Here is a 27488-nt window from a genome sequence, read left to right as displayed (position 1 = left end):
AATCAAATAATTATTTCTTAGCATTGTAATAAACATTCCAAAATATGACACCTGTTATCTTATTCAGCGGTCAGTTGAGTTTATTTGATTTCTCCTTCAAGTCTCTGAATTTCTTGAATCACTGATGCTCAGTCTTAAAACAATGGAGGTGGTTTTGCTTTTTTCTTTTCCTTTTTAAAATTTATTTATTTTTATTTTCTTATTTTTTGAGACAGAGTTTTGATTTATTGCCCAGGCTGGAGTGCATGGCATGATCTCAGCTTACTGCAATCCCCACCTTCCAGGTTCAAGTGATTTTTGTGCCTCAGCCTCCCCAGTAGCTGGGATGGATTATAGGTGTATGCCATCGTGCCTGGCTAATTTGTGTATTTTTAGTACAGACATGGTTTCGTCATGTTGGTCAGGATGTTCTTGAACTCTTAACCTCAAGTGATCTGCCTGCCTTAGCCTCCCAAAGTGCTGGGATTACAAATGTGAGCTACCACACCTGAACTGTTCCTTTTTTTAAAGACTAAGATTTAAGTTGTCTGAATAAAAATGCTTACTTGTTTAAACTTTTGCATTAACAAGGCTTGACGTTTATTGTTGCCTTGAATAGTCTCAATCAATCTTTTTAGCTTCCCCAGCACCTCATATTTGGAAATGACTAGATAGATAACATAGATTTTTTTGGACTGGCAGCATTCATACCACCTACAAGCTTAAAATGCAGAATCTCAAACTCCACTTCAGACCTAAAGAATAATTATATTCATTTTAACAAGACTCCAAGTCATTCATATGTACAGAAAGTGTGAGAAGTACTACTAAATCATTTGTCATTTAAAAGAATTGGACTTTAAGCACACAGAATTGGTGAATCATAACATAGTTCATAGTCATTTTTCCATGTGTTCTCCTTTTTTCTTTCATTCATTCATTCGTTTGTTATTTTAAATCAAAAGAAATAACCTGTGAGTCCAAGACCTAACCAAAGTATTAGAACATCAAAACTCACATTTCCTTACACCTATATTCCCTTAACCAGAAGTAACCACTATCTTAAACTTTGTGCTTATTGTTCCATTTTTTCATAAATAATACAGCTTTACCACTTATAAACTTTTAATATTACTCCTGCAGATGGTCACAAATAATACCAATTATTAACTTATTAGCTGTAGCTCAATAACTCATTAATAGCCTGCTGTATTTATCTGCTAGAATTTGCTTTTTTTTCAACATTAAGATATTAAGATTCACCCATGTTGTGTGTAATTGTAACTTACAGGTTCCTTTTCACTTCTATATAATATTTGTGACTATACCACAGTATAATCTATCCTTTCTTCTACCAATGGACATTTGAGTTGTTTCCCTTTTATTGTGGCTGTGAATGGTGCTAGAATAAACATTCTTGCACATGTTTCTTGGTGACATTTGGAGGACATTCTTTTAGGTATATTCTGAGATTGGAATCGCTGTGTCATAAGATGTATAAATGGTCTACTTTGCAGGAGATTGTCAAATTGTTTTCCTAAAATGATATTAGCCATTTACACTCCCACCAGCATTGTATAAAATATCCCTGTTGACCCATATTCTCTTTAACATATGGTATTGTCAGACTTCTTAATTTTTGCCACCTGAGTAAATAAAAAATACCTTACAGTAGTCTTGATGTGAACTTTCTTGCTTCTCAAGAAACAAGGCTGTGAACATGTATATGTGTGTTTTCCTACATGTGTCTTTTCCTTCTGTGAAATGGTGGTTCTTATACCTATTTTTCTTCTTTTTAAAAATTTGTATGATTCTTTTTCTATTGTTTGCATGAGTTCTTTATATTATAGATACTAATTCTATCTCTTCTCCCTTGTAGCTTGTCTTTTCACTTCTTTTAGGGCATTCTTTTTGTATGTATGTGTGTATTATTTTAAAAAATGATTATTAGCTTTATTTTCTACATGTAAAAATTTAACTTATTTTTAATTGACAACAATTATGTGCATTAATGTACAACATTATTTTAGAATACATTTACATTATGAAATGGCTAAATCAAGTTTATTAACATGCAATTACCTTACATTTTTGTGATGAAAACACTTAAAATCTATTCTCTTAGCAATTTTCAAGCAAACAATACATTGTTATTAACTATAGTCACCATACTGTACATCTCTTGAACTTATTCATTCTGTATAACTGAAATTTTATATCCTTAAACCAACATCTCTCCCATCTCCCCACCCACCATCTCCTGGTAGTCACCATTCTCTCTGCTTCTATGAGTTTCATTGTTTTAGCTCCCACATGAGTGAGAACATGCTGTATTTGTCTTTCCGTGCCTGGATTATTTCACTTGGTATAGTGTCTTTCAGGTTCATTGATGTCACAATGACAGAATTTTCTTCTTTTTAATGCAGAATAGTATTCCATTGTGTATGTATGTCACATTTTCTTTTTTTTTTTTTTATTTGAGGCAGGGTCTTGCTCTGTTGCCCAGGCTGCAGTGCAGTGACACAATCATGGTTCACTCCTGTCTTGACCTCCTGGGCTCAGGGGATCATCCTGTCTCAACCTCCTGCGTAGCTGGGACTACAGGCGCATGCCACCATGCTCAGTTAATTTTTTAATTTTTTTGGAGAGGTGGGGTCTTACTGTGTTGCCCACGCTGGTCTCAGACTCTTACCTCAAGCAGTCCTTCTGCCTTGGTTTTCCAAAGTGCTGGGATTAGAGGCATAAGCCAGCATGCCTGGCCTGTATATCACATTTTCCTTTTTTTTTTAAAAAAAACTTTAAGTTCAGGGGTACATGTGCAGGTTTGTTTATAGGTAAACTCGTGTCACAGGGTTTGTTTATAGGTAAACTCGTGTTTACCTATGTTTATTAGGGTATTCTAATAAACATAAAAATCTTAATTTTTATGTTCTCATACAGATTTTCTTTAATGGTTCATGCTTTTTAATTTTCTTAAATCATTCACTTGAGTTGATTTTTGTATATTATTTAGACATAAAAGTTTAAATTATTTTCTATAGAGAAACATGTTTTCCAGTTATGTTTACTGTATGTTCTTGTGTTTCCTCAGTGATTTGCCGTGCCAGCTCTTGTCTGTCAGGGGTCTGTATCTGCAAGGGCCTGTTTATAGGCTCTGTTTTCTGTTTCTTGGTTGATTGGACTATCTCTATACCAGTAACACATTTTACTAATTAGTACAGCTTTACAGTAAGTCCTTATATGTGGTTGGGCAAGTATCCTACAATTTGTTTCTTGAGTTTTATCTTTTTCTTAAAGGTCGGACACTCCTCCCCAAGCTAAATTTTAATTTAGAAAGAACATGCTTCATTTTTTATATATACAACCTAGTTATCAATGCATATGTATTTTTTAAAATGTCTTTAGGTTTATTTAAAGCATTTCTTACAGTAACTGCTTTGTTTGGCTTACATTTGTTGATGATGTCAACCTGTGGGATAAAAAGGAAAAAAGCCCCAACAAAATGTAATGGCAACCTTATAATATTCAAACTAATTCAATTGGAATACTACTACAAGTTCAGTATATTTAAGACTCTAAGTTGATATCATAATTTCTTAATTTAACAAAGCATAAAACATATACTATTCACTTACATTACTTTTTAGCAACTTTGTATAAATCTAAATTACTCAATGAAATAACATCCATTCAGGTATTATTAATACCATTTTTAGCTCTTTAATATCGCTACATGCCAGACAACATTTAAGTGCTTAACATATTTTAACTCATTGGTTCTTTTCAACACTATGAGGTAGTTAACATTATTATCCTAATTTTATTGATGAGGAAACAAAGGCCAAGAGTGGTCAGGTGGCTTGGTAGCTTGTTTATGTGGGGTTTATTCGGGTAGTGCTAAGGAATGCTGCCTTGTGAAATCTTTACTGAGTTATCCTTAAACAGAACTAACTTTTTGATAGTTTAGAAACCCCAGCCTCTCCTCAGTCCTGTACTAGTGCCACGTATTTTTATTCAGGAGAATGAAGTCAAACATTAGCATCAAAGCCAGTCTTGGAATAAAGAATATAAGGTACATAACCGTTGAGAAATATGTACAAGTGCCTTAGAAATGATGGATTGGATGTGTGTTTACTGGTTTTGAGCAGTAAGTTGATTGTGTATGTGACATATGTCAGGTCTTAGGTCATATTTAGCTTTGGCTGGAGGAACTTCCCTCAGTCATTGCCATTTTCTCTTCTCAGGTGTCCAGAGCTTATAAAGTGGTATATTTGTCAGAGAATTGACAAGCATTCTGCTTAGTGTTTCTAGTAAAGAAACACTTTTTGACAGTTTAATCTGCCTCCATTCTTAATTCTTTTGTGTTTCTAGAATGCTTACTTCTTTTGTTTTCTATTCTCTGTGTCTATTTTGATTTCTAAAATAAATTATATGATCAGATAGGTAAATAATTGTTTTAGTAATAATTCATACATTAGAACATCTTCAACTATTAATGTGCTATTCTAGATATTGTTAAATTATGTGAAGGGAAAATGGTATAGGGAAAGAAGTTTTTCTGGGATGGAATGAAAATAGGTGCCCACAAAAATATTAAGAGATAATGGCAAAGTGCTAATGTTTAATGAGAGTCCTAATATTTCTCATCTTTGCTGACCAAATATCTTAGGGGAATGTAAATTTGAGAAAATAGAAGAATCTTCACTGAGCTCAAGTGGATGCCATAGAAAGAAGTGTATTGTAGCATGGCACACAGAACTAGCCTGTGACAGATCATTTGAAAAAAAGAGCAATAATTAGACCTTTATGAAAAATCATGCATGTTTTTCACAGTGATTGGAGTTTCCAGGTAATTTACTGGGTTCTGACCTTTTGATTAATACGTGTTTGCCTCAAGAATGGGTGTTTGACTCTGAAAATTAGTCTGTAGACAAGGCAGAACTTGGAGGAGTGAGCAGTAGTTGGTAAATGATATAGCTATGTCAATGTAGGCTTGTGGAAAGGTGATTGCCAGTAGGTGATGAAGATTGGTGGACACTGAGGTTCTTAAAATGGGTAATCTATAATGCATAGAAATGTATTAATCAGGATGTGTAGCCATTTTAGGAATGTATGGTCAGAAAGATGAAGAATAGGATTAATATATAGAAAGTCTTCATAGACAAATGTTCAATGGGAAGGCAGAGCTTAGATTTTATGGAGAGGCAGGACAAATAAAGGCACTGAGGGACTGTGACACATTTTGACTGAATTAAAATCCATGGAGAACCAAGGATCTCCTCAGAGATATAGGATTGTATGGAGACATAATTTGACTTGATTTATATGAAATGTAGGAAGTAATTTTTTGGTTGAGGAACTTTTTTACATTTAAGGGAGAATGGGAAGCAAGAGACAGCTATATGCTAACATTTTGCTAAGGAAGATAAGAGAAGAGAATTAGACGGTCGCTGTCCATTGGTCTTGCAATCAAAAGTCAATAGGGAGGAACCAAATATGAAAAAAAAATCTTGGTATTTAGATTCATGCTTTAAAACCTTAGTTGGGCCTCACTAGTTATTTCAGTTTTAACTCCTCTTCCCCCATTAGAAATTCATCTCTCATCTTTACTTGCCAAGTTTTCCCCTTTGTTTCATGACAGAAATTAAGACGGTTCAGCATAACATTATCCACATTTTCTTTTCGATCAAGATAATTTCGATATGCTTGTATTTGCCTCATTGCCTGCTTCTCATAGTCTCTGGCTAAAGTGTTTAGTCTGGAAACTGCAGTATGATTCTAAATGCTCAGAAGAATCCTTCGAGGTCCAGAAATATGTAATTTTATTAATATTACTTAAAAAAGACCACTGAACTTGACCAAAGTCACTTTAAATTCTAATTTAAAATTTCCAAATTTAAAAATGAGGAGATCTTTCTCAAGTACAGAAAAACACAGACTTCAAGGGAAATAAAAATGAACTTTGAGCTTTAAGAATAAACTAAGACTTGGTTATATTGAAATTTTATGAATAGTGCAAACTTTTCTTCCTATAGGTGCTTACTGGAATATGGTAAGTTAGCGATTATATGAATTTAAACATGATGTGATTAATCATTATGTTCCTTGAAGATAAGCCCATCTCTATAAACTATAATATCAATAAAGCTTTACAACATTCTCTGCCATTTTTCTTTGGTCAAACTTAAATTATTGGAAAATAGTTTGTTAAAATCTCCTCCCCCATAGACAATAGTTCCATTTATTTTGAAGTAATGCATCTAGACCATCTCACTAGTAGACTTCAACTTCATTATTCTTGACTTCTTGACTCTTGTCTTTTTTTTCTTTTTGCCTCATAATCTGGAATCTTTTTGGCTAGAGTATCAATGAATAACAGATTGAAAATATTCCTTTCATCCTTTATTTTTCCTCCTTCATCTTAAATCAGTTCAGCTACTCCAGAAAAAAAAAGGATGTTAGTGGCAATAGGTAAAATTTGAAAGGCAAAATGTGACTTATTGAAATTGAATGATGGGTACAAGGGAATCATTTATTATGTACTCTTTTTGTATGTTTGAAAGTTTCCACAATAAAAAAGATTTTAAATGCACCCAGAAAATAAAGTAAATCAGCCCAATGAACAGATGAATTTATTGCCCATTTATAATCAGATTTGAACTCAGGAAATTTTAGGCACAGTTTATAAAACTGACCGTAGCTCAACGGGTTATAATTTTGTTATTTAGTGTGGTCAGTCCAGGCATTAAAGCACTTTGAATTATTACCTTAATGACAAAAGTTCAGGCCTGAAACTACCAAATAGGGAAGGCTGTCATCACTTCCTGTTGATTCTTGAAATTTAATTCCTTTTCAAATCTCATCTCTTTCTTTTTTTCCTGGTTAAAGTCACTTAGAAATTGTGGCTATTTTTTGCCATAGCAGCTGTAATACTTGGGTCTGAATCAAAGACTTTACATTTTATCACTTTTTTCTTATCTTTTTCTTCAGTGTACTTAATTTACTGCCTTGAGTCAAACATGTTCTATGGTGCCAATCTGTTACAGTGGAAAGAACACTGGATTGAGAGGCATGAGTTTCTAGTTCCAGCTTTCTCGTGAACTAGTTTGGTGACTTTGGACAATTATTTCACTTTTTACAACCTTCTAACCTGAAATTCTCTTCAATTCCTCATTTAGTGATTTTTAACCATTTGGTATCATTTTTAGAAATTTACCTTTCCTAGGTTAAGGCAATTGACATTCTGCAATTTGCCCCCGTCTGGCTTACATTCATCCTGATGGTTTCAATCCCCTCAAGTCTTTACTTTGTGTTTTGTTCCCAAAATAACTCCTATTGACTCAAAAAATTTTTTTCTGTTAATTTTTTACTTAAGTTGCTTGTGCTTAGAGAGTTTGTATGATGTTAATTCTTTGATATTTGTTGAGACTTTATACAAGATCTACTACATGATAAATTTTTTAATAGACTTGATTTTTTTTTAGAGCAATTGTAGGTTCACAGCAAATTTGAGCATAAGATACGGAGATTTTCTAAACACATCTTACCGCCACATACATAGCCTCCACCATTAGTAACGTTTTCCAGCATAGCGGTACATTTGTTACAATTGATGAACTACGTTTCTACATCTTTGTCACCCAGAGTCATAGTTTATGTTAGGATTCACTTTTGGCGTTATACATTTTATGGGTTTGAATAAATGCATAATATTATGTACCCACCATTATAAGACTCATACAGAGTAATTTCTCTGCCTTAAAAATTATCTGTCCACCACCTATTCATCCCTCTCTCCCCCAGCCCCTGGCAACCACTGATTTTTTTTTTAAGCTGTCTCCATAGTTTTGCCTTTTCCAGAATATCATATTGTTGTAATCATACAGTATGTAGCCTTTTAGATTGGCTTCTTTCATTTAGTAATATGCATTAAAGACTCCTCCATCTATTGACTTTTATTAGCTAAGTGTCATATAAGTAATTCACAGTATTACACTCTTGCTTGTGTGCTTTCTCTCTCTCTGTTTTAGAACAGTGGGGTTGGATACGGTAAAAGCAAGGAATCGGAATCGTGAAATTGAATATTTGAGAACTACTTTATTCAATTTAGAACTTTCAAATAAATTGGTATTTAGATAAAATAGAAATAAACACAAGCTAAAATTTATTGAATGCTTTCTATGTGCCAGGCATTGAGCTTCCCATGTACCTAGCACTAAGTGTTTGTACTGTAGGATTAGTGTGCTTTAATCATGGTTCTGGTGTATGAGTTGTGGCACCTTGGATCTCACATTTCTCATCTATAAGATATATTATACAGGGTTTTGTGAATATTAGATGAGATAATATGTATAAAATATTTAGCACAGTGTCTGAATATGGTAAAATGCCTGATAAATTTTAGCAACTTTTATTACCAGTACTTGAATTATCTTATTTAATCATCAGAAAAACTCTATAATATAGGTCCTTTTATTTCCCTCATTTTAGTGATGAGTACAAAAGGGTTAATAATGTTAAGGAATTCATTTAAAAGTAAAGCCAAGATTTGAACTTAAGCAATCTGAATCAGAACCCACATACCTTTAACTTTTATACTCTGTTTCTTTCTAATTAGTAAGAAACATATTCAAGAGAAGGTAAAGGATCAATAAATGATTTTTAAATTGTGGTCTTGAGAGGTGGCCCTAGGATAATCTAAGTGATTAACCAACTATTCTCTCAGAGTTGGTTAGGTTAAGTGGGGATCTTGTTTTGATGGACCACCCAGTATTTTAGACATTATCTATTTTTTCAATATCGTTTTCAAAGAAATAAATTATACTGAGGAAATTTAATGTGTTACTAAAGAATAGAAAATATACTAAATTTTATTTGAGGGTCATTCTCTTTCTAAAATAATCATAATAGCTATTAAAAGTTTTCATGTGAGCATATTTTCTTTAATTTGTTTCATAAGCTGTTTTGTAGGAAAGTGTTACAAAAACATTTGTACTTGGCGTGAGCCCGGGAGGCGGAGCTTGCAGTGAGTGGAGATCGCGCCACTGCACTCCATCCAGCCTGGGCGACAGAGCGAGACTCCGTCTCAAAAAAAAAAAAAAAAAAAAAAAAAAAAAAATTTGTACCAGGTAAAGTTTTAGGTCCTAGAACCACTAGTGATATTTATGTGAATATGCTCTTATTTAGACCTAGCCAAATAGTTTAATAATATTTATTATCATTAGATGTCACTTTCTTAGTGTAAAACGGTTAGTTCTGGTGAGGACTTTTTTTTTAAAATAGGGGAGCAGGCTTGATGGAATGTTAAGTGCGCTGGTTGACCTAGGTTAAAGTATGATTACAGAGTGACAGTGAGGATTTAATTCAACAGTTTATGTGAAGAAATTTTATAACTTATGTGATAGAGAAGTATCAATTATTGATGTGAATCATTAGTAGTTAGAAGAGATCTATAATACAAACCAGGAACAGTAGCACACACATGTAGTTCCAGCCACTCTGCAGAGGCTGAGGTGGGAGGATTGCTTGAGCACAGGAGTTTGAGTCTGCAGTTAAGTTATTACCACACAACTGCACTCTAGCCTGGGCAACAGAGTGAGACTCCATCTCTAAAAAATAAAAATTAAAAAAGAGATCTACAATACAACAAAATTTGAGAATTTCTGGTTTGGGAAGAAAGGTAGAAATTGGATTACTATGTAATGAATATTTCCTAAGGGTTAAACACTTTATATATGTTCTCATTTAATACTTTTGCCTTCTCTTTGCTATGAGGAAACTGAAATTCTGGAAAAATAGTAACTTGTTTAAGGTCACAGGTAGTGAATGTGGAAGCTTCTTTCAAATCCAGGCTTTGACTTTAAAAGCCACGTTCTTTCTACCGAAGCACTCTGCTTCCCATACACCTAGAGATAGAGTGTATGGCCCATGAATAATTAAGAGTAAGATGAAAAGCTAATCTTTCAGTTTCTCATTGAGACACAGTGATGCCTTGCATTTATTATTCCTCCTTTTACTATATTTAAACATTTCACAATAATTTATTTATCTTTTAAAAAAATAAGAGCACTATGAATTTGACAGGAAAACTTGTGAGATATCAGATGGATTACATAACTAAATATTGTATATCACAAGCTAGTTTTTCTCTACCTCTGGTTTCTTAACTGAAAAAAAAAAGAGTTGTGGAGAACGTTAATGGATTGTAATACACAAAGGAATAAAATAATTTATTAAAAATAAAAATTCCTAATTTTGAAGCAGATGACATATTTTATATTTCTGTTGATTGTTTTTTAATAATACCTAGGCAAACTTGATTTCAGATTTATTGATGAGAATTCCCTGCTTTATACAGAAAATATTCCTGTAGAAACCAACATTTAGATAATCTGATAAGGTCTGGGAAAAGGTGAGTTCTATGTAGCTGGAGTAATCAAAGTGGTATAGGTTACACAGAAGTGTTAAGGAAAAAGATAAGAGAAACTAATTTGTGTTAAAATTAAACTTTTTTCTAAGTCAGCTTTTCATACTCTAGTTTTGTTGTTCAAAGTACATTCATTCTTATAGAATATTAGGTATGCCAATGCTTAGATATAAATATAAAAACACATTTCAAAATCCAAACAAATTATTTTTGGATTATCCATACCTTATGTCCCATCTGTTAGTATAAATAATCAAAGAGTACTGTATTTTCAAAAGCTCTGGAGAGTGTTACCCTTTCTGCACTTTCTGCAACAGTATAATAGAATTTGGCAAAAACAATAGCATGTTTTGCAATGGTTGTGCAGTTAATTGAACATCCTGTCAATGCTGGATTTGCTGTAATTTTTACAGATAATAAACAGCAAGCTATGGTGTCACCCTATGTATATTCACTTAACAATATTTATTTAATTGTTGAGCACATAACATATTCAGATCTTTGTACTTTGAATACAGATACATGATGACTACAGCATGATTAGGAGCCTTGAGTTTTTGTGGAAGAGATAGGCATGTAAACAACCAACTTTATTTGCCCTAATAAATATTGCTTATTTTGAACAGTTAATCTCTTTCTCTTGCTCTCTTTTTCTTTCTCTCTGTCTCTGTCTCTCTCTTTCTTTCTCTTTCTCTCTTTCCTGGGGAAGAAAACTAATATTTATCAAATGCTCATTGTGTGTAGACGCCATACTCAAGAATTAATAAATTTTGTGTGCTTTGACTAGAGCCTTGCACTTTGTATGTTCACAAAAATGTTATCTCTTATTATCAATCTAATGTAGTTATCAAACAGTTCTGTGATATAGTTATTCTTATTTTATAGATAAGCTATATGAGACTCATGGATAAGTAACCTGCTTCAATATACATATCCAATAAATATTTTTAAAATCTGAGTCCAAAGCCCATACTGTAGAATAGTGGCCTCAAAAATAAAGTCCATGCATTCCAAGAAATATGCAAGATGATGCGTTAGGGTTTGAGAGGAAATAAAAATTGTTATTTGTGTTTTTTATTTAAAAAATCTAAGAAGTTAAAGTTACCAGCAGTTAATATGCCCAGATAGAGCTGGGCAATATCAGAGCATTATTTACATGCATTGCTACTTAAACAGAACATCCTGATGGGAGAGAGTGGAGTTTGTTAAAGAGTTGGAGCTACTAAATGTTATCTGTGCCTTGTTATGTGGAGTCACAGATTAGTGACAGATTAGTTTAACTAAAACTAACTCTTACAAAACAGACAACTGACTGAAAAAAAGCATAGAAAAGATGATACTAATAATCCAAGCCCATTTGAAAAAGAACATCCCTGAAACATATTATGAACACTTTGTAAACTACATTATAAAGTAAGAACAATGATGATTTAGCAATATTTGAACATTGATCAAAAATAATAATCAAGAAGTCTATTTGAAATGATTTATATTCACTGTCATTGAAAAAGAATGTCACCCTCAGTGTATGGTGTGCGATGGTGGAAGACCATTTCATTGGTAAGGCATTAAAATCTAACTACCTAGATCATGAATCAAGCAGTGTTTAATGTCACGTGAGACTCAGTACAGACTTTACAAAATCATTAAATTAATATTTAGAAGACTTTTGGGGATTTAAAAAACAATATTAAAATACAAACATATTTACCATTGGAAACACTGTTCTTCAAGAGCAATAATGGCTGAAATAATGTGTGAAAAATAATATGGCAACAAACTATCACATTTGTCAGCAAATACTGCTAGAATATGTATAGAAAACATTGCTGAAGATTTGCAAAAACAAGTATTGAACAAATTATGCAGTGTGGAATGTTTACTATATAGTTAAATGAAAGTACCAATATTTCTAACATTTCATCCAATGATATTTGCTAGGCTCAATTGAAATAATTCGAAGAACTATGTTGTTATAAATCACCAAAATAATCACTGGAGAAGATTGTGGCTAAACAGCAAAATACTGCCCTACAGTAAAACAGTGTGTTCTTGAAAATCTATGTTATCTATAGTTACATAGTTTTAGAATATTGGAGTGGTCGATTTGAATGGAATAGAAAAAAGCTTGCCGAGGCAGGTTACAGAACTACTTCTACACATGAAATCCCTTCAGTCTTTTACAGACAAGCTATTTTAACAAATAAATTGAAGTCACAAGTACACACAAGTGCTGTAGGACATCATTGATGTGGTCACTTTGTTTTCGTTTTTTAAGTTAAAGCTTTAAAATGTAGTCAAAAATATGTTACCAAATGTGAAAGAATCTTAAAATTTTAGTGGAATCTTTATGATACTTTGTAATAAGATGGAGAATGGGCCATGAATATCATTTGCACCACTTGAGGTTCACTGGTTATCCAGTGGTAGAGTATTGAGAAGTAATAAGAAATTTATGGCAGTTATGCATTTTTCTTTTACAGAATGACAAGGTTCTAATTTTACTCACCTTTTCTGTTATGACAGGTGACTGTCCATACTATGCGCTCTAATGTATATTTTTGAAAAATAACATATTCGATCTGTCTTTTTAAAGTAGTAGTACTAATAATGAGTGAGAAGGTAACTGCTTTTTGAAGGACCTGTGGTTATGGAGAAAACATTTCATATTGAATGTTTGTAATTCTTTTCATTACAATGTGATTTTCTTGCCAAAAACCAATGTATTTGTAAAACTAGTTTCTATATACATTGAAAATTGTACAAAAATATATTGGCATATTTTGTAAAACTTGGAACATAATGTTATAACTTACTTTAAGATCTTTCAAATGTAATCTTTAAATTGATTTTAAAATCCTTTTGTTAAAAAATAAAACGCTACACCTCTTAGTTTATAGGAATGACTTATTCATCTGAAGATGGAAATTTACTAGCTAAATTTCAACAAAGTATTTTACATAATTGGCCATTAATATTGAAAATTGATTATTTTGATGTAGTAAGCACAGCCATTGATACTCTTCTTCCATTTGAATTTACTATTTTGTGAGGCTTTCTCCCTCAACTTACCACCACCCCTCCTCTGCACCCATGACAACCATTATATCTAAGTAACCTGAAAATAGTACTGTATTTTCAGATGACTGTTTTACAAAGTGTAAAACCAAGCCAAGACGTAGAGAATGACACATATTTACTCAAATTTTTGTTTTAATGTTTTTCAGTAAGAGCATCAAGAGCAGTTTGCTCTTCAGTAAGAGCAAAATGTTTTAAAATTGTTGATAAACAGAGCCCCAAATTTAGAATGTTTACTTCTTGTTTACCTCAGTCTTTTAAAATATCTATTGCTGCATGTTCTGTAATGTATGTATTGTAGTAATGTATGTATATTATAAATAATTATGCATATATTGGAGTATGGGCTTATATTAATCAATGCCAAGACAAACAGAAATGACTCAGAAAAGAGGAACTTCAATCCAGGGAATTGATTACAAAAGTGTTGGAAAGTCTGGTTGAGCAAATAGAAGGTGGCAATATTATTTAGTAACAAATTCCTTCAGAAAGCAAGGGAAAGTTTTGTTATCCAGAGCCTATAAGTATTATGCTGCCGCTGCTGCTGCTGCTTCCACATTTTGCTGTGGCTGTTGGAATCACCAATCTCACTGCACTGTAGGAAGCCAGGTGTCCGCACTCCTATGGACACTTCAAGAATCCAGGATAATATGTAATTTCTTGAATTCTGTTGTGCTTGTAACAGCTGCTGGAGCTTCCAGTCACTTGTGGTGGCTGCTGTTGTTCTGCACTTGCATTGTTCTGCACTTGCATAACCAGTGTTGCAATCAGCAGTCCAGAGCCTAGATACCAAGACTTCTGTGCTGCAGACCCTGTTGGAGCACCATTGCTGAGATTTTCAGTGCCAAAAGCAGGAGGCAGGAAGAAGTCTGTCTTTGCCTTTGATCTTATACCAATGCTTCATATTCTGGCAAAGCCATCTAAGAATTGTAGTTTTTAACTTCTACCATAGAAAGAGTGCCTGGAAGAGGAATTCACCCATCAATTATATGCAAACTATTTTAGTGAATAAATCGAAGTCAAGAGACACATAACTGCTGTAGGATGTCATTGTTACTGTTTTTTAAAATTAAACCTTTTAAACACAGCAGAAAATACTTGCAAACTATTCATCTGACAAGGGACTAATAACCAGAATATATAAGGAACTCAAACAACTCAACAGTAAAAACAATTAATTGCATTAAAAAGTGGGCAAAGGACATGAGTAGACATTTCTCAAAAGAAGACGTACAAATGGCCAATAGGTATAGGAAAAATGCTCAACATCACTAATCATCAGAGAAATGCAAATCAAAACCCACAATGAGATAACATCTTACACTGGTCAGAATGGCTATTATTAAAAAGACAGAAAATAACAGATGCTGGTAAGGATGTAGAGAAAAGGGAACTCTTATACACTGTTGATGGGAATGTATATAAGTACAGCCCCTATGAAAAACAGTATGGACATTTTTCATAAAATGAAAAACAGATCTCTCTATTGCAATCTCTCTATTGAGTATCCCCCTCAAAAAGAAATCAGTATATCAAAGGAACACCCGCACTCCCATGTTTATTGCAGCACTATTCATAGTAGCAAAGATATGAAATTAAACCTAAGTGTCCATCAGTGGACAAATGGATAAAAAAATGTGGCATATATACACACAATGAAATACTATTTGGCCGTAAGACAGAAGGAATGTCATTTGCAGCAATGTGAATGGAGCTGGAGGTCATTATGTTAAGTGAAATAAGCCAAGCACAGAAATACAGATATCTCGTGTTCTCACTCATGTGGGAGCTAAAATGTTGATCTCATGGAGGCAGAAAGTAGAATGATAGATAATAGAGGCTGGGAGGATTGAGTGGGTTGGGAGAGGATGAAGAGAGGTTGGTTAATGGGTACAAACGTCAGACAAAAGAAGTTCTAATGTTCAATAGCAGAGTAGGGTGACTGTAGTTAATAAAAATATTCTATATTGCAAAATAGCTAGAAGAGAGTACTCAAAAAAAAAGAAAACCACATAGAAATTATAAATACTCAGGGTGATGGATAACCTAAATACCCTGACTTTGTCATTACACATTTTATGCATGTAACAAAATATCACATATACCCCATAAATATGTATAAATACTTTATGTCATTTAAAAAATAAAAGGTAAATCTAAGCACAAAAATGTAATAGAAAATACACACCCAAACATGGAAGAGCCTTAAAATTTTAGTAATAATCTAAAATTTAGATAGGAATGGAGTTGAGAACTAACAGTGATCTGTGCAAAGTTTTAAATGTTTTTACTGAGGGAGCATACACTTTTTAATAATCGGAGAATCAATTTCTTGAGAGTAGGGGAAGGAACTCAGTGGTAAAACTACATATTACTTCACTTTTCTTGATTAGCTTTAAGAGATGGATTTTGATTTGACACCTAAAGCTAGGGTTGATATTCAGGGAATACACACTGTATTTACAGCCAGCATCTGTTTTGATTAGTCATGGTAACATTTCTTCTGTGCCCATTCCTTATGAGCTATAAATATTTTGACTGCCACTGAGCACTACCTAAAACTTCTCTAATTTATTATTTATTTCTATACACTTATTAAGGTAACTTAAAATAATAGTAATAGTAAAAATGTAGTGCCTGGAAAACTTCAGAATTTAATTATTGAATTATTTTATGTTATCAAATATTCTATAATATCTATTGTTTTATTGTAAATATGTATTTTTAAACATCTGATTAAACTGCTAAAGTGCAAATTAATTATTGAGTGGGTATTAAGTGCATTTATTGGTGGAAAAATACTAGGGAGAGAATTTTAATTACTTTAGACAAAAGTTACATGAATTTTATTAAGATATTAGCTTACAGTGGTTTGCAGTTTATTTCCGTTTGTGACCTTCAGATAAAACATCATAAGAGGTATGTATTGGAGTCCCAAACCATTTAATTTTTAAAATAAAATTCATAATAATGATTTATTTCTTTCATAACTCTTTTTGTAATTAATACAGATTTCATTATGGGCAGTGTTCTTTTGTTGATTACTAATAAAATTTTCTCAACTGGTGAGATACTGTTTGATATTCAAATTTCACATAGGTTTAAGTGATGTTGGGAGTATTATTTGTGTTATGGAAGATCCAGTTATTACATTTTCAGTGGTAAAGTGCCATCGGTTTGAAATAGAGTAGTACATCATATTTAGTGATAAGTAAATTCAATCCATTCAAATGTGTGGACATTTAACATGAAGGAGGATTTGTTTTATTTTTATTTATTTATTTATTTATTTATTTATTTATTTATTTATTTTTATTTTTATTTTTTTGAGATGGAGTCTCACTCTGTTGCCGAAGCTGGAGTGTAGTGGCGCAAGCTCGGCTCACTGCAGCCTCTGCCTCCCAGGTTCAAGTAATTTTTCCTGTCTCAGCCTCTTGGGTAGGTGGGATTACAGGCACATGCCACCTAGCCCGGATAATTTTTGTATTTTTAGTAGAGATGGCATTTTACCATGTTGGCCAGGCTGGTCTCACACTCCCAACCTTAGGTGATCCACCTGCCTTGGCCTCCCAAAGTGCTGGGATTACAGGCGTGAGCCACCACACCTGGCCGGATTTGTTTTATATACAATTCTCTTCATTGAGATATAAACTGATAAACTAGTCAAAATTAAGTAAATGACAATTTTGAAATACCCAATATAAGTGTAAAATAAAATTTAATGTAATTCATTTCAAATTTTTATTTTTCAAGAATCCTACCAAACATATCGGACATACATTCTGAATGTATATACTGTAAAGTAATTTTTTGTATTTAATACAAATGAAGAAGATAGATATTTTATGTAGATTATGTTATAAAAACTTTTGATCTGACCTTATACATTTTTTAAAAAGTTATGGCTATAAGCCTACAGCTTATTGGGGCTAAGTGATTTTTCTTAAAAATAAAAGATACCATTTCTACCTATTTTGAATCATCCCTATGGCCTGTTGCCTCAGAGGGCTTAGCAGGCTGCTATCATGCTGACTCCGTTATTAATAACTCGCTTCAAAATTGCTGGACAGATTGCTATTAATATTTCCAACTCTTTTTTTTTTTTTTTCTAAGACAGAGTCCCTATCGCCCAGGCTGGAGTGCAGTGGCGTGATCTCTGCTCACTGCAACCTCCGCCTCCCGGGTTCAAGTGATTCTCTTGCCTCAGCCTCCCGAGTAGCTGGGATTACAGGTATGTGCCACTATGCCCAGCTAATTTTTTTGTATTTTTAGTAGAGACGGAGTTTCGCCATGTTGGCCAGGCTGGTTGCGAACTCTTGACCTCAGGTGATCTGCCCACCTCGGCCTCCCAAAGTGCTGGGATTACAGGCGTGAGCCACAGTGCCCCGCCTAATGTTTCCAACTCTTTAATCAAACTGGTTCATGGTATGTTTCTTTCATCGCTTTTGAAAGCTATTTTTTAATATACTAGTCTTTTCCATTATCCTTTCTTTAAATTTTACTTTGAGATACTTAATATACTTTTCCTCAAACAAATATAAAATTTTAAGTTCTGAAATTATCTAGGGAACATATATCCTTTCAAATCTGTTCCCCATCATTAGTCTTCTTTTTCTACCTAATATCACCAGTCTGTTATTCTAGATAATTTTTGGAGTAATTTTATAAAGCCCCTCCTTCTATTCCTTACACATTCTATTTGGATAGATGTTAGGCCCGACGTTTACTACTTATTAGGTCTGTGTCTTTGGGCCTCTTTTTGTTTATGTATAATCTGAAAATGAGATTTCTTTTAATGCTGTTGGGGGATTAAATGAGAAAGTGTATGTTGGGCTGTTTCTGACACATGTAGTAGAGATAACTTTTAATAAAGCATTCTTATTAATAGTAGCAACTTTTGTATTTTGGAAAGATATGAAGACTATTGAGTTTTTGAGTATAGCCGCACCAGGTCAAACAGTAAGGATCTCACCAACCTGCTTGACAAACATCTATGGCAATTAAGATGTACCTTTTATATCTTCTCTGTGACTTTTATTTTTCCTATAGAATGCACTCTGTAGTTTCTCTTTCCTTTCCTTTTGTATTAAATATAAACTGTACATATAAGTAAATTATGTAGATGTGGAAACTTTTAAGATAGTTGCTGGCATTGTTGTAGATTGTTTAGTAGAGAGGATTGACCAGGCAGCAGAAGAGTTCATATAGTATATGTGTCTAATACGTTGTTCTGGAGCCAGGGAGATATTACAAATAACATTTTTATATTTTGTAATCCATTGATTTAGCATTTATTGATTGTGTCACAAAAGTACCCTCTTCTAAATTTCTAAAGATAATCATATCATTTAAGATCAGCTTATAGGAGTAGTAACAACAGCTATAATAGCATAATAATCTTATCATTCAGATACTAAACTCCGTGCCACTTTTCCCCATGGTCATATTTCTCCTTTACAATTGTGGAAAATGACTCATATATAGATATGAGTCATTCTATATTAAAGATACTTTTGATTTTCTACTCTTTGCTATTTACTATTCACTGGCCACTGTTCACTCTACCACTGGTCACTCCGAGGAACTCCGGTAATATTTTCTGTCTTATTAGGAAACTGCCGTGATTATAAAGGCTACAGTATATGGGTGAATGTGAGGCAATAACTTCATTTTTTCATTATTTGATTCTTCGTTCTACTACTATATAAGACTGTAGAATATACATTATCCTTTCCTGAAAGTTTGGAGAGAAGGAGAATATTTGCATCACAAAACATAAACTTCATAGAATTTATTATTAGGCATTACTTTAAAAAATCTGGCCACGTTTACATTGGGAAATTCCCACTACTCCTCTTCTTCCTCCCTCTCATCTCTGTGCTCCCCTAACTTCAAATTGTTACTCATTTTTTATGTAGTACAGTTTAACCCCACAAGAAATATTCATGCCTCACTCTCTGACTCCAGCAGCTTATCAAGATGTTTTCCTCAAAGAGGACAATTCCATTCCCATGAAGTACTCTGAAGCCAACTTCAGCCTTTTACAAACACTTATGTTATAGATTTGAAAGAAATAATAGATAAATGAAATGTGAAGGCAAGCTGAATTTTCTTTTCAGAAATGATGTTTATTGAAATTCTGATAGTTGTATGGGAATATCTTTTTTTTTTTTTAAGTTCCAGGATACATGCACAGAACCTCTACATTTGTTACATAGGTATACGTGTGCCATCATGGTTTGCTGCATCTATCAACCCGTCATCTAGGTTTTAAGCCCCACATGCATTAGCTATTTGTCCTGATGCTCTCCCTCCTCTCACCCCCCACCCGCCGACAGGCCCTGGTGTGTGTCGTTCCTCTCCCTGTGTCCATGTGTTCTCATTGTTCAGCTCCCACATATGAGTGAGAACATGCAGTGTTTTCTATTCCTGTGTTAGTTTGCTGAGGATTATGTCTTCCAGATTCATCTATGTCCATGCAAAGGACATGATCTCATTCCTTTTTATGGCTGCATAGTATTCCATGGTGTATATGTACAACATTTTCTTTACCCAGTCTATTATTGATGGGCATTTTGGTTGGTTCCATGTCTGCTATTGTAAATAGTGCTACAGTAAACATACCTGTGCATGTATCTTTATAGTAGAATGATTTATATTCCTTTGGGTATATACCCAGTAATGGGATTGTGGGGTCAGATGGCATTTCTGGTTCTAGATCCTTGAGGAATCGCCACACTGTCTTCCACAATGGTTGAACATTCCCACCAATGGTGTAAAAGCGTTCATATTTCTTTGCAGCCTCGCCAGCATCTGTTGTTTCTTGACTTTTTAATAATCCCCATTCTGACTGGTGTGAGATATGAATACTTTTTTTAACAAACTTTTTTTTTTTTTTTTGACACAGTCTCACTCTGTCACCCAGGTTGCAGTGCAGTGGTGCAACCATAGCTCACTGCTGCTTTGACCTCCTGGGCTCAAGAAATCCTCTCACCTCAGCCTCCCAAGTAGCTAGGACTACAGGTGCATGCCATCATACAAGGCTGATTTTTTTATAGACATGCGGTCTCAGTATATTGTCCAGGCTGGTCTCTAACTCCTAGATTCAAGTGACCCTCCTACCTTGGCCTCCCAAAGTGCTGAGATTACAGGCATGAGCCACTGCATGCAGCCTTATCCAACTTTTTATTGTGAAATTCTTTCAAACATACAGCAAAGTTGAAGATTACTTTTTCTATTTTTGTTTGTCACAAGATCTTAAGATAAGGATGTGTTTAATATGTGACAATACATTTTTTGAAATGCTATTTACTTGTTTATATCATCCTTATATCTCAAATTTATTTAAGTTTTTAATTAACCAAGGTTTATAAACCCTATGTACTGTTGTTTGTTTAGTCATTCATTCTTTCAGGAAAACTTTTTTGAGCTTCAGATATATTACAGGTGTACTGCCAGATGCTAGACCAACAAAGCTTAATAAGTAGGGTCTCTGCTCTGGGGGGCAGAGGGGAAGAAGGTGGCGATGGTGGGGAGGGAGTCTCTTAGTCTTGTAGGGAGAGAGGCATATAAAATCCTCTGGCCATAATAAATGTACTTCCAATGACTTAGTTTACATGTAATACTTTATTTTAGTTTTAAATTTAAACATTTGTTGATTAGAATTTAAATTAGATGTGCAACTCTTCCCATTTAAGGATGGTACTCCTGGCCTACTATTGTCCTTGGGCCCGATGGGATACAATTTTAAAATAGATGACTAGGGTTAAGAATTATTGCCTAATTGGCCGGGCACAGTGGCTCATGCTTGTAATTCCATTACTTTGGGAGGCTGAGGCAGGCGGAACACAAGGTCAGGAGATCGAGACCATCCTGGCTAACATGGTGAAACCCCGTTTCTGCTAAAAATACAAAAAATTAGCTGGGCGTGGTGGCGGGCACCTGTAGTCCCAGCTACTCGGGAGGCTGAGGCAGGAGAGTGGTGTGAACCCGGGAGGCAGAGCTTGCAGTGAGCTAAGATCGGGCCACTGCACTACAGCCTGGGCGACAGAGTGAGACTCTGTCTCAAAAAAAAAAAAAAAAAAAGAATTATTGTGTAATTACGCCACTTACAATTAACTTTATGGTGGTGTCCTCAATGGCAAAGTCATTTACTTAGCGTAGCAATTACTCATTTTGACCCACTAATCCCAGACTTTTCTTGTCTGGGCACGGTGGCTCACGCCTGTAATCCCAGCACTTTGGGAGGCTGAGGTGGGCGGATCACAAGGTCGGGAATTTGAGACCAGCCTGACCAACATGGTGAAATCCTGTCTCTACTAAAAATACAAAAATTAGACAGGCATGGTGGCACGCGCCTGTAATCCCAGCTAGTCAGGAGGCTGAGGCAGGAGAATCGCTTGAACTGGGGAGGCGAAGATTGCAGTGAGCCGAGATTGCACCACTGCACTCCAGCCTGGGCGACGGAGCTGTCTCAAAAAACAAACAAACAAACAAAACCCCCAAAATACACAAATCCTTTACAATTGAATTCTTGCTTTTTTAATTCCTTTCTCAGGCTATAGAAAATAGGAAATATTTTATTGTGTTTATTATTTAGTTCTTTAAACAATTATTTGCATTACTATTAGATATTTGAATCTTGAACTATGCAACCTTTAAGAATGCATGATAGAGTATGTACTTTAGATGGAGTTGCTGGGTACCATTAAATTGAACGTATTGAGAGCTATGGGTATTAAACAGCAAATTTTCACTATTCTGTGTTAGTAAGCAAGATAGGGTAAGAAATCATCAGGACTTACTAGATTTGACTCACAACCACAGAGTCATGGCTGGATGGGGCCTTAACTATCTTTAGGTATTGGGTAAAACAGTATAGTGTAGGGATTAAACACATAAACTCTAAGCTAGACAGGCTGGGTTCAAATCCTATCATTATTATTATGCTATGTGATCTCAGGCAAGTCACTTAATCTCTCTTTTTTCTTCATCTGGAAAATGAGACTAAAAATAATTCCTACATTATAGGGTAATTGTTAGGCTTTAAAGAGTTAAGAAATAAAAAGTACTTAGAACAGTTCTTGACACATAGTAAGCACTTAAGCATTGGCTTTAATAACTATTATTATGATACGCTGTTCAATTCCGTCCTTTTAAATTTGTTATTTTTAGCATAGGAAGAAACTGAAACTCAGGATGGTTGCATGACTTGACGAGGGTACGCAAGCTATTTGTGGCAATGCTGGGACCAGAACCAATTTTCTTTTAATTTATTGTTTAATAGACTTTTTTTTGAGTAATTTTAGTTTCATAGTAAAATCGATGGGGAGGTACAGAGATTTCTCATATACCCCCTGCCTTCACACATGCACAGCCTCCCCATCATCAATATCCCCCACCAGAGTCATATATTTGTTACATATGATAAGCCAACTTTGACATATTATTATTACTCCAGGCCCATAGTTTACATTAAGGTTCACTCTTGGTGTTGTGCCTTCTGTGGGTCTGAACAAATGTATGACATCTATCTGTCACTATTGTATTATACAAAGTAGTTTCACTGCCTTGAAAATCCTGTGTTCTTCCTGTTCATCCCTCTCTCTACCCTAAACTCTTGCAAACAATGAGTTTTTGCTGTCTCCATGGTTTTGCCTTTTCAGAATGTCATATAGTTGGAATCATACAGTGTATAGATACGTACAGTGGATAGAAGGCAATCTTTTCAGATTGGCTTCTTTTGCTTAGTAATATGCATTTAAGTTTCCTACATGTCTTTTCATGGCTTGATATCTCATTTCGTTTTAGCACTAAATAATATTTCACTGCCTGGATGTACCATAATTTATCCATTCATCTACTAATGGGCATATTAATTTCTTCCAAATATTGGCAATTATGAATAAAATTACTGTAAACATCTGTGTGTAGGTTTTTGTGTGGGCATAAGTTTTCAATTCCTTTGCATAAATACCAACCACTGCAATTGCTGGATTGTATATGTGTTTAGTTTTGTAAGAAACTGCCAAACTGTCTTCCAAAGTGGCTGTACCATTTTTCATTCCTACCAACAATGAATGAGAGTTCCTGTTGCTCCACATCCGCATCATCATTTGGTGTTGTCAGTGCTGTGAGTTTGGGCCATTCTATTACATGTGTGGTGGTATGTCATTGTTATTTTTAATGTGCATTTCCCCAATGACATATAATATGGAGCCCCTTTCATACGCTTATTTGCCATCTGTATATCTTCTTTGGTGAGGTCACTGTTAAAGTCTTCTGCCCATTTTTAATCAGGTTATAATATTTTCTTACTGTTGAGTTTTAAGAATTCTTTGCATGTTTTAGATAACAGTCCTTTATGAGATGCATCTTTTGCAAATATTTTCTTCCAGTCTGTGGCTTGTCTTTTCATTACCTTTACAGTGTCTTTTGCAGAGTAGAACTTTTTAATTTGAATTAAATCCAGCTTATCAATTATTTCTTTCATGGATTATGTCTTTGGTGTTGTATCTAAAATAGTCATTGTGAAACCCAGAATTATCCAGATTTTTTCCTATTTAGGAGTCTTAGAATTTTGCATTTTACATTTAGGTTTATGATCCATCCATTTTGAGTTAATTTATGTGAAGAGTGTAAAGTCTGCGTCTGGATTTATTTTTTTGCATGTAGACGTCCAGTCGTTCCGTCACCACTTGTTGGAAATACTGTCTTTGCTCCATTGTATTGCTTTTCCTTTTAAGTCAAAGATCAGTTGACTATACATATGTGGGCCTTCTCCTGGGCTGTCTATTTTGTTGCACTGATCTGCTGTGTCTATTCTTTGCCAGCATCATGCATTCTTGATTACTGTAGCTTTATAGTAAGTCCTGAAGTCTGGTAGTTTCATTTGTCCAACTTTGTTCTTCTCTTTCAATATTATGTTGGTTATTTTCAGTCTTTTGCCTCTCCATATAAATTTTAGAATCATTTAGTTCATATCCACAAAATAACTTTCTGGGATTTTGATTGGGATTGAATTGAATCTATAGATCAATTTGGGACAGAACCAGTTTTTAACTTCCACTTTAGGATCTTTCTACAGAACCAAATTGCCCCATGACATATCAACACATGAAGCAATTTAATTAAATAACTTTATAACTTCCATAGTATGGTAGTCAATTACAATGATTTCTTCAGACCTTATTGTCTCCAGTCCCAACTAGGGAAAGTATATCTTGAATTCCAGTAAGTACTAACAATGTACTACTTATTGTGCTTTGAATCTAGTAAAATGTACAGATATGGGAAAAGTTTTGAGATGTTGTACATTCTTCTTCTTCTTCTTCACCTTTTTTTTTTTTAATTTGAGATGGAGTCTTGCTCTGTTGCCAAGGCTAGAGTGCAGTGGTGTGATCTTGGTTCACTGCAGCCTCCACCTCCTGGGTTCAAGCGATTCTCCTGCCTCAGCCTCCTGAGCAGCTGGGACTAGAGGCATGCACCACCACCCCCAGCTAATTTTTGTATTTTTAGTAGAGGGGGTTTCCCTATGTTGGCCAGTCTGGTCTCGAACTCCTGACCTTGTGATCTGCCTGCCTCGGCCTCCCAAAGTGCTGGGATTACGGTGTGAGCCACTGTGCCCGGTCTCATTTTTCACTTAAGCCAAAAGATTTGTTTTCCTTTTAAATTTAGCTCTCAGGTTGTTTTTTAGAAAAGAGCCTTCATGGTCCTTTATATTCCTTTTGATTCCTGCTGGTAGAAACCAAATACGTCTTCTCCTTGAATAAAAACAAAATGAAACAAAATAAAATACCTAGAACCTTATTTTAAAAATTCAGAAAATACAAATATCTAATTCAAATCCATCTGTCAAACTCTAAGTTTTATGTGTTTTTTTAATTGACATTTTTCTTAATACATTTTAATAAAGCTTCGGAGAAACAATAGGGCAATAGTAGAAAAGCAGAGCTGCCAGGCCAAATAGTGAGGAGGAGATACATGCTGGTACCTTGGGCACACTAAATATATTTTGGAAAAGTTTCTCTACAGACAAGTGACCTGAAGTAGGAGACTGTTAAATCATTTTTAGTGTGTGTCTGTCTCCTTTTAATCATCCACCCTTGGGAGGGTGATATACTACTGCAGCACTAGAGAGGTTGAATTGGTGGATTACGATGAGACTAGAGTGGTCTGGACTCTTGGTTTCTTACTAGAAATTTTCCCAGGATAGCTTGTATAATGTATAGGTAGATATTACATTCTAATGTCTGTGCTGTAGGTTAGCCACCCTGAAAATAGCTAAAGCAATATTGATCTGTATTCTAAACATGACCCAAAATTTATTTGACATTCTTAAAGATTTTTGTGAATAAGGTGAAGAATCGGTTGATCTATAAGTTATATATTGAAAGTTATTTAATTTTTAATTGAAAACTGATTTTTTTTAAACAAAAGAATTGAAGCTGTTGTTTCAAGGTAGTTTTGTTTATGCAGAGGGACATATTCTAATTTTTGAAGCATGTTAATACACAAAACCACATAAAAAGGATGATTTTTACAATTCATATACTTAGGATTATTGTTGCCCAAACGCAGGGTTTGAATAAGTCAAATGCACTTATATTTTTTATTTGTGTGTAAATATTTTTTAGAAAATTTTACCTCTATTATAATGTTCTTAAGTCCCATCTAAATGACACATAGCCAAACTGTATAGAAATATATTAAGGAAGGTGGGTGTCTAGATAGATAATAGTGCTAGAAGGAGATATGACTCGTCAAGCAGAGTCTAGTTTTTAAAAATTCGGGGACGAGGAGAGTGGCTTAAAACTATTTCTGTTTTCTGATGTTTGTAATTCTATAGCTGCAAATATATCACTTACAGGAGAAAGGGCACCTAGGAGTGGGGAAAGTGGGTGGGAAGCATGTGATGGGGTGAGGAGTATAATAACATCATAATTTTGGAACTAGAATATAGAAAAAATCTGGTTAGAAGTATCAGACAAAGAAAAACTGTTTTTTTTCTCTTTTAAGGCAAGTTTATTTAGAAGCATTGATTATTTTTATTTTTCCCTCCTAATAAAAGATTAAGGGTAACTGCTGTAGTTTCAGTCCCATATTCTATGAAATATCATCCTGATTGTGATGGTAGCTTCTTATGGGATTTATTTCTGTTGTTGTACCACTATGTACTATACGCATTGCACCTGTTCACACAGAGTACATTGCATTGTGATGTTTGTACAGCTAGATGCTTTAAATGAGAAGCCAATCTCCCTTCTTCTAGGTTCCTAGCCTATTAGTTACTTAATTAAGCTTAATTCTGTTTTGGTCTGTAATTTTGTAAGTCTGCAATTTTGTATATGGTCTCGATTTATTAACTGAGCAATGATTTCTTCTTTGCAGTTATCAGTTTTGTCTGAGATCAGTTTTCCTATTGTATGGAGTCTGTTTCTTACAGAGCCTCCTTTAAGACTGCTCTGACTTTAAAATCATTACTAGGCTTTTGTCAGAGCTGATTTGTTCACATTCTTCTCACATTAAAAATAAATTTAAAAGATTGCACAAATAAGCTATGCATTTCACTATTTCCTGCTTATATGCAAAAAATGTATTTATGATAATTACATGTACTGCCAGAACTGAAACAATACATTCCTCATAATGGAGCATAAATAAAGAAGGTGGAGCCAGCTGCTCTTAAACTGTTTATTTGCAAGCAATAATGATATAGAGAATATACCTTTTTCACTCTGTTAGTCTGGCAATACTGAACCTGTTGCTGCATTAGACGAGTTGCATTTTGCTGGATAGGGGAAGGAGAGCTGTCTGCTGTCTGGTAGGAGGGCTTTGTCTGTGCCTTTCTCTCTGTTTCTTTCTGTTTTTCTTTCTCTCTCTCTCTCTCTCCTCTTCTCTCTCTCTTACTCGCTTGCTCTGTCTCTGTCTCTCTCTCCCTCTCTTCCCCCCTCCCTCCTCTCTCTTGCTCTCTCTCTCTCTTCCCGTCTCTGTGGTTTGTAAGGTA

The 27488-nt window shown here is 34.4% G+C and overlaps 1 protein-coding gene and 1 long non-coding RNA gene across 6 annotated transcripts in view, besides 1 other annotated feature; one reads left to right on the top strand and one right to left on the bottom strand.

Annotated features, from left to right (window-relative positions):
* The window catches only part of ZBTB20 (zinc finger and BTB domain containing 20), an 832789-nt gene that overhangs the window by 19488 nt on the left and 785813 nt on the right, over window positions 1–27488 (top strand). The gene's annotated exons all lie outside the window — the stretch shown is intronic.
* On the bottom strand, window positions 24740–27378 carry ZBTB20-AS4 (ZBTB20 antisense RNA 4). Its single transcript, NR_046877.1, has 2 exons — window positions 27210–27378; window positions 24740–25245 (listed from the first exon to the last, which is right to left on the bottom strand). It is a non-coding gene; the product is annotated as a ZBTB20 antisense RNA 4 (long non-coding RNA).
* Window positions 27158–27287: an enhancer, noted in NCBI's record as "active region_20279". NCBI's record gives its function as "activates an Ori minimal core promoter by ATAC-STARR-seq in GM12878 lymphoblastoid cells {active_cell/tissue: GM12878}" and the evidence as "EXISTENCE:reporter gene assay evidence [ECO:0000049][PMID:35858748]".

Source organism: Homo sapiens, chromosome 3 (genome assembly GCF_000001405.40).
Source record: "Homo sapiens chromosome 3, GRCh38.p14 Primary Assembly".
Taxonomy (NCBI): domain Eukaryota; kingdom Metazoa; phylum Chordata; class Mammalia; order Primates; family Hominidae; genus Homo; species Homo sapiens.
The sequence above is the reverse complement of the archived record's forward strand: the minus strand, read 5'-3'. Positions and strand labels throughout refer to the sequence as shown.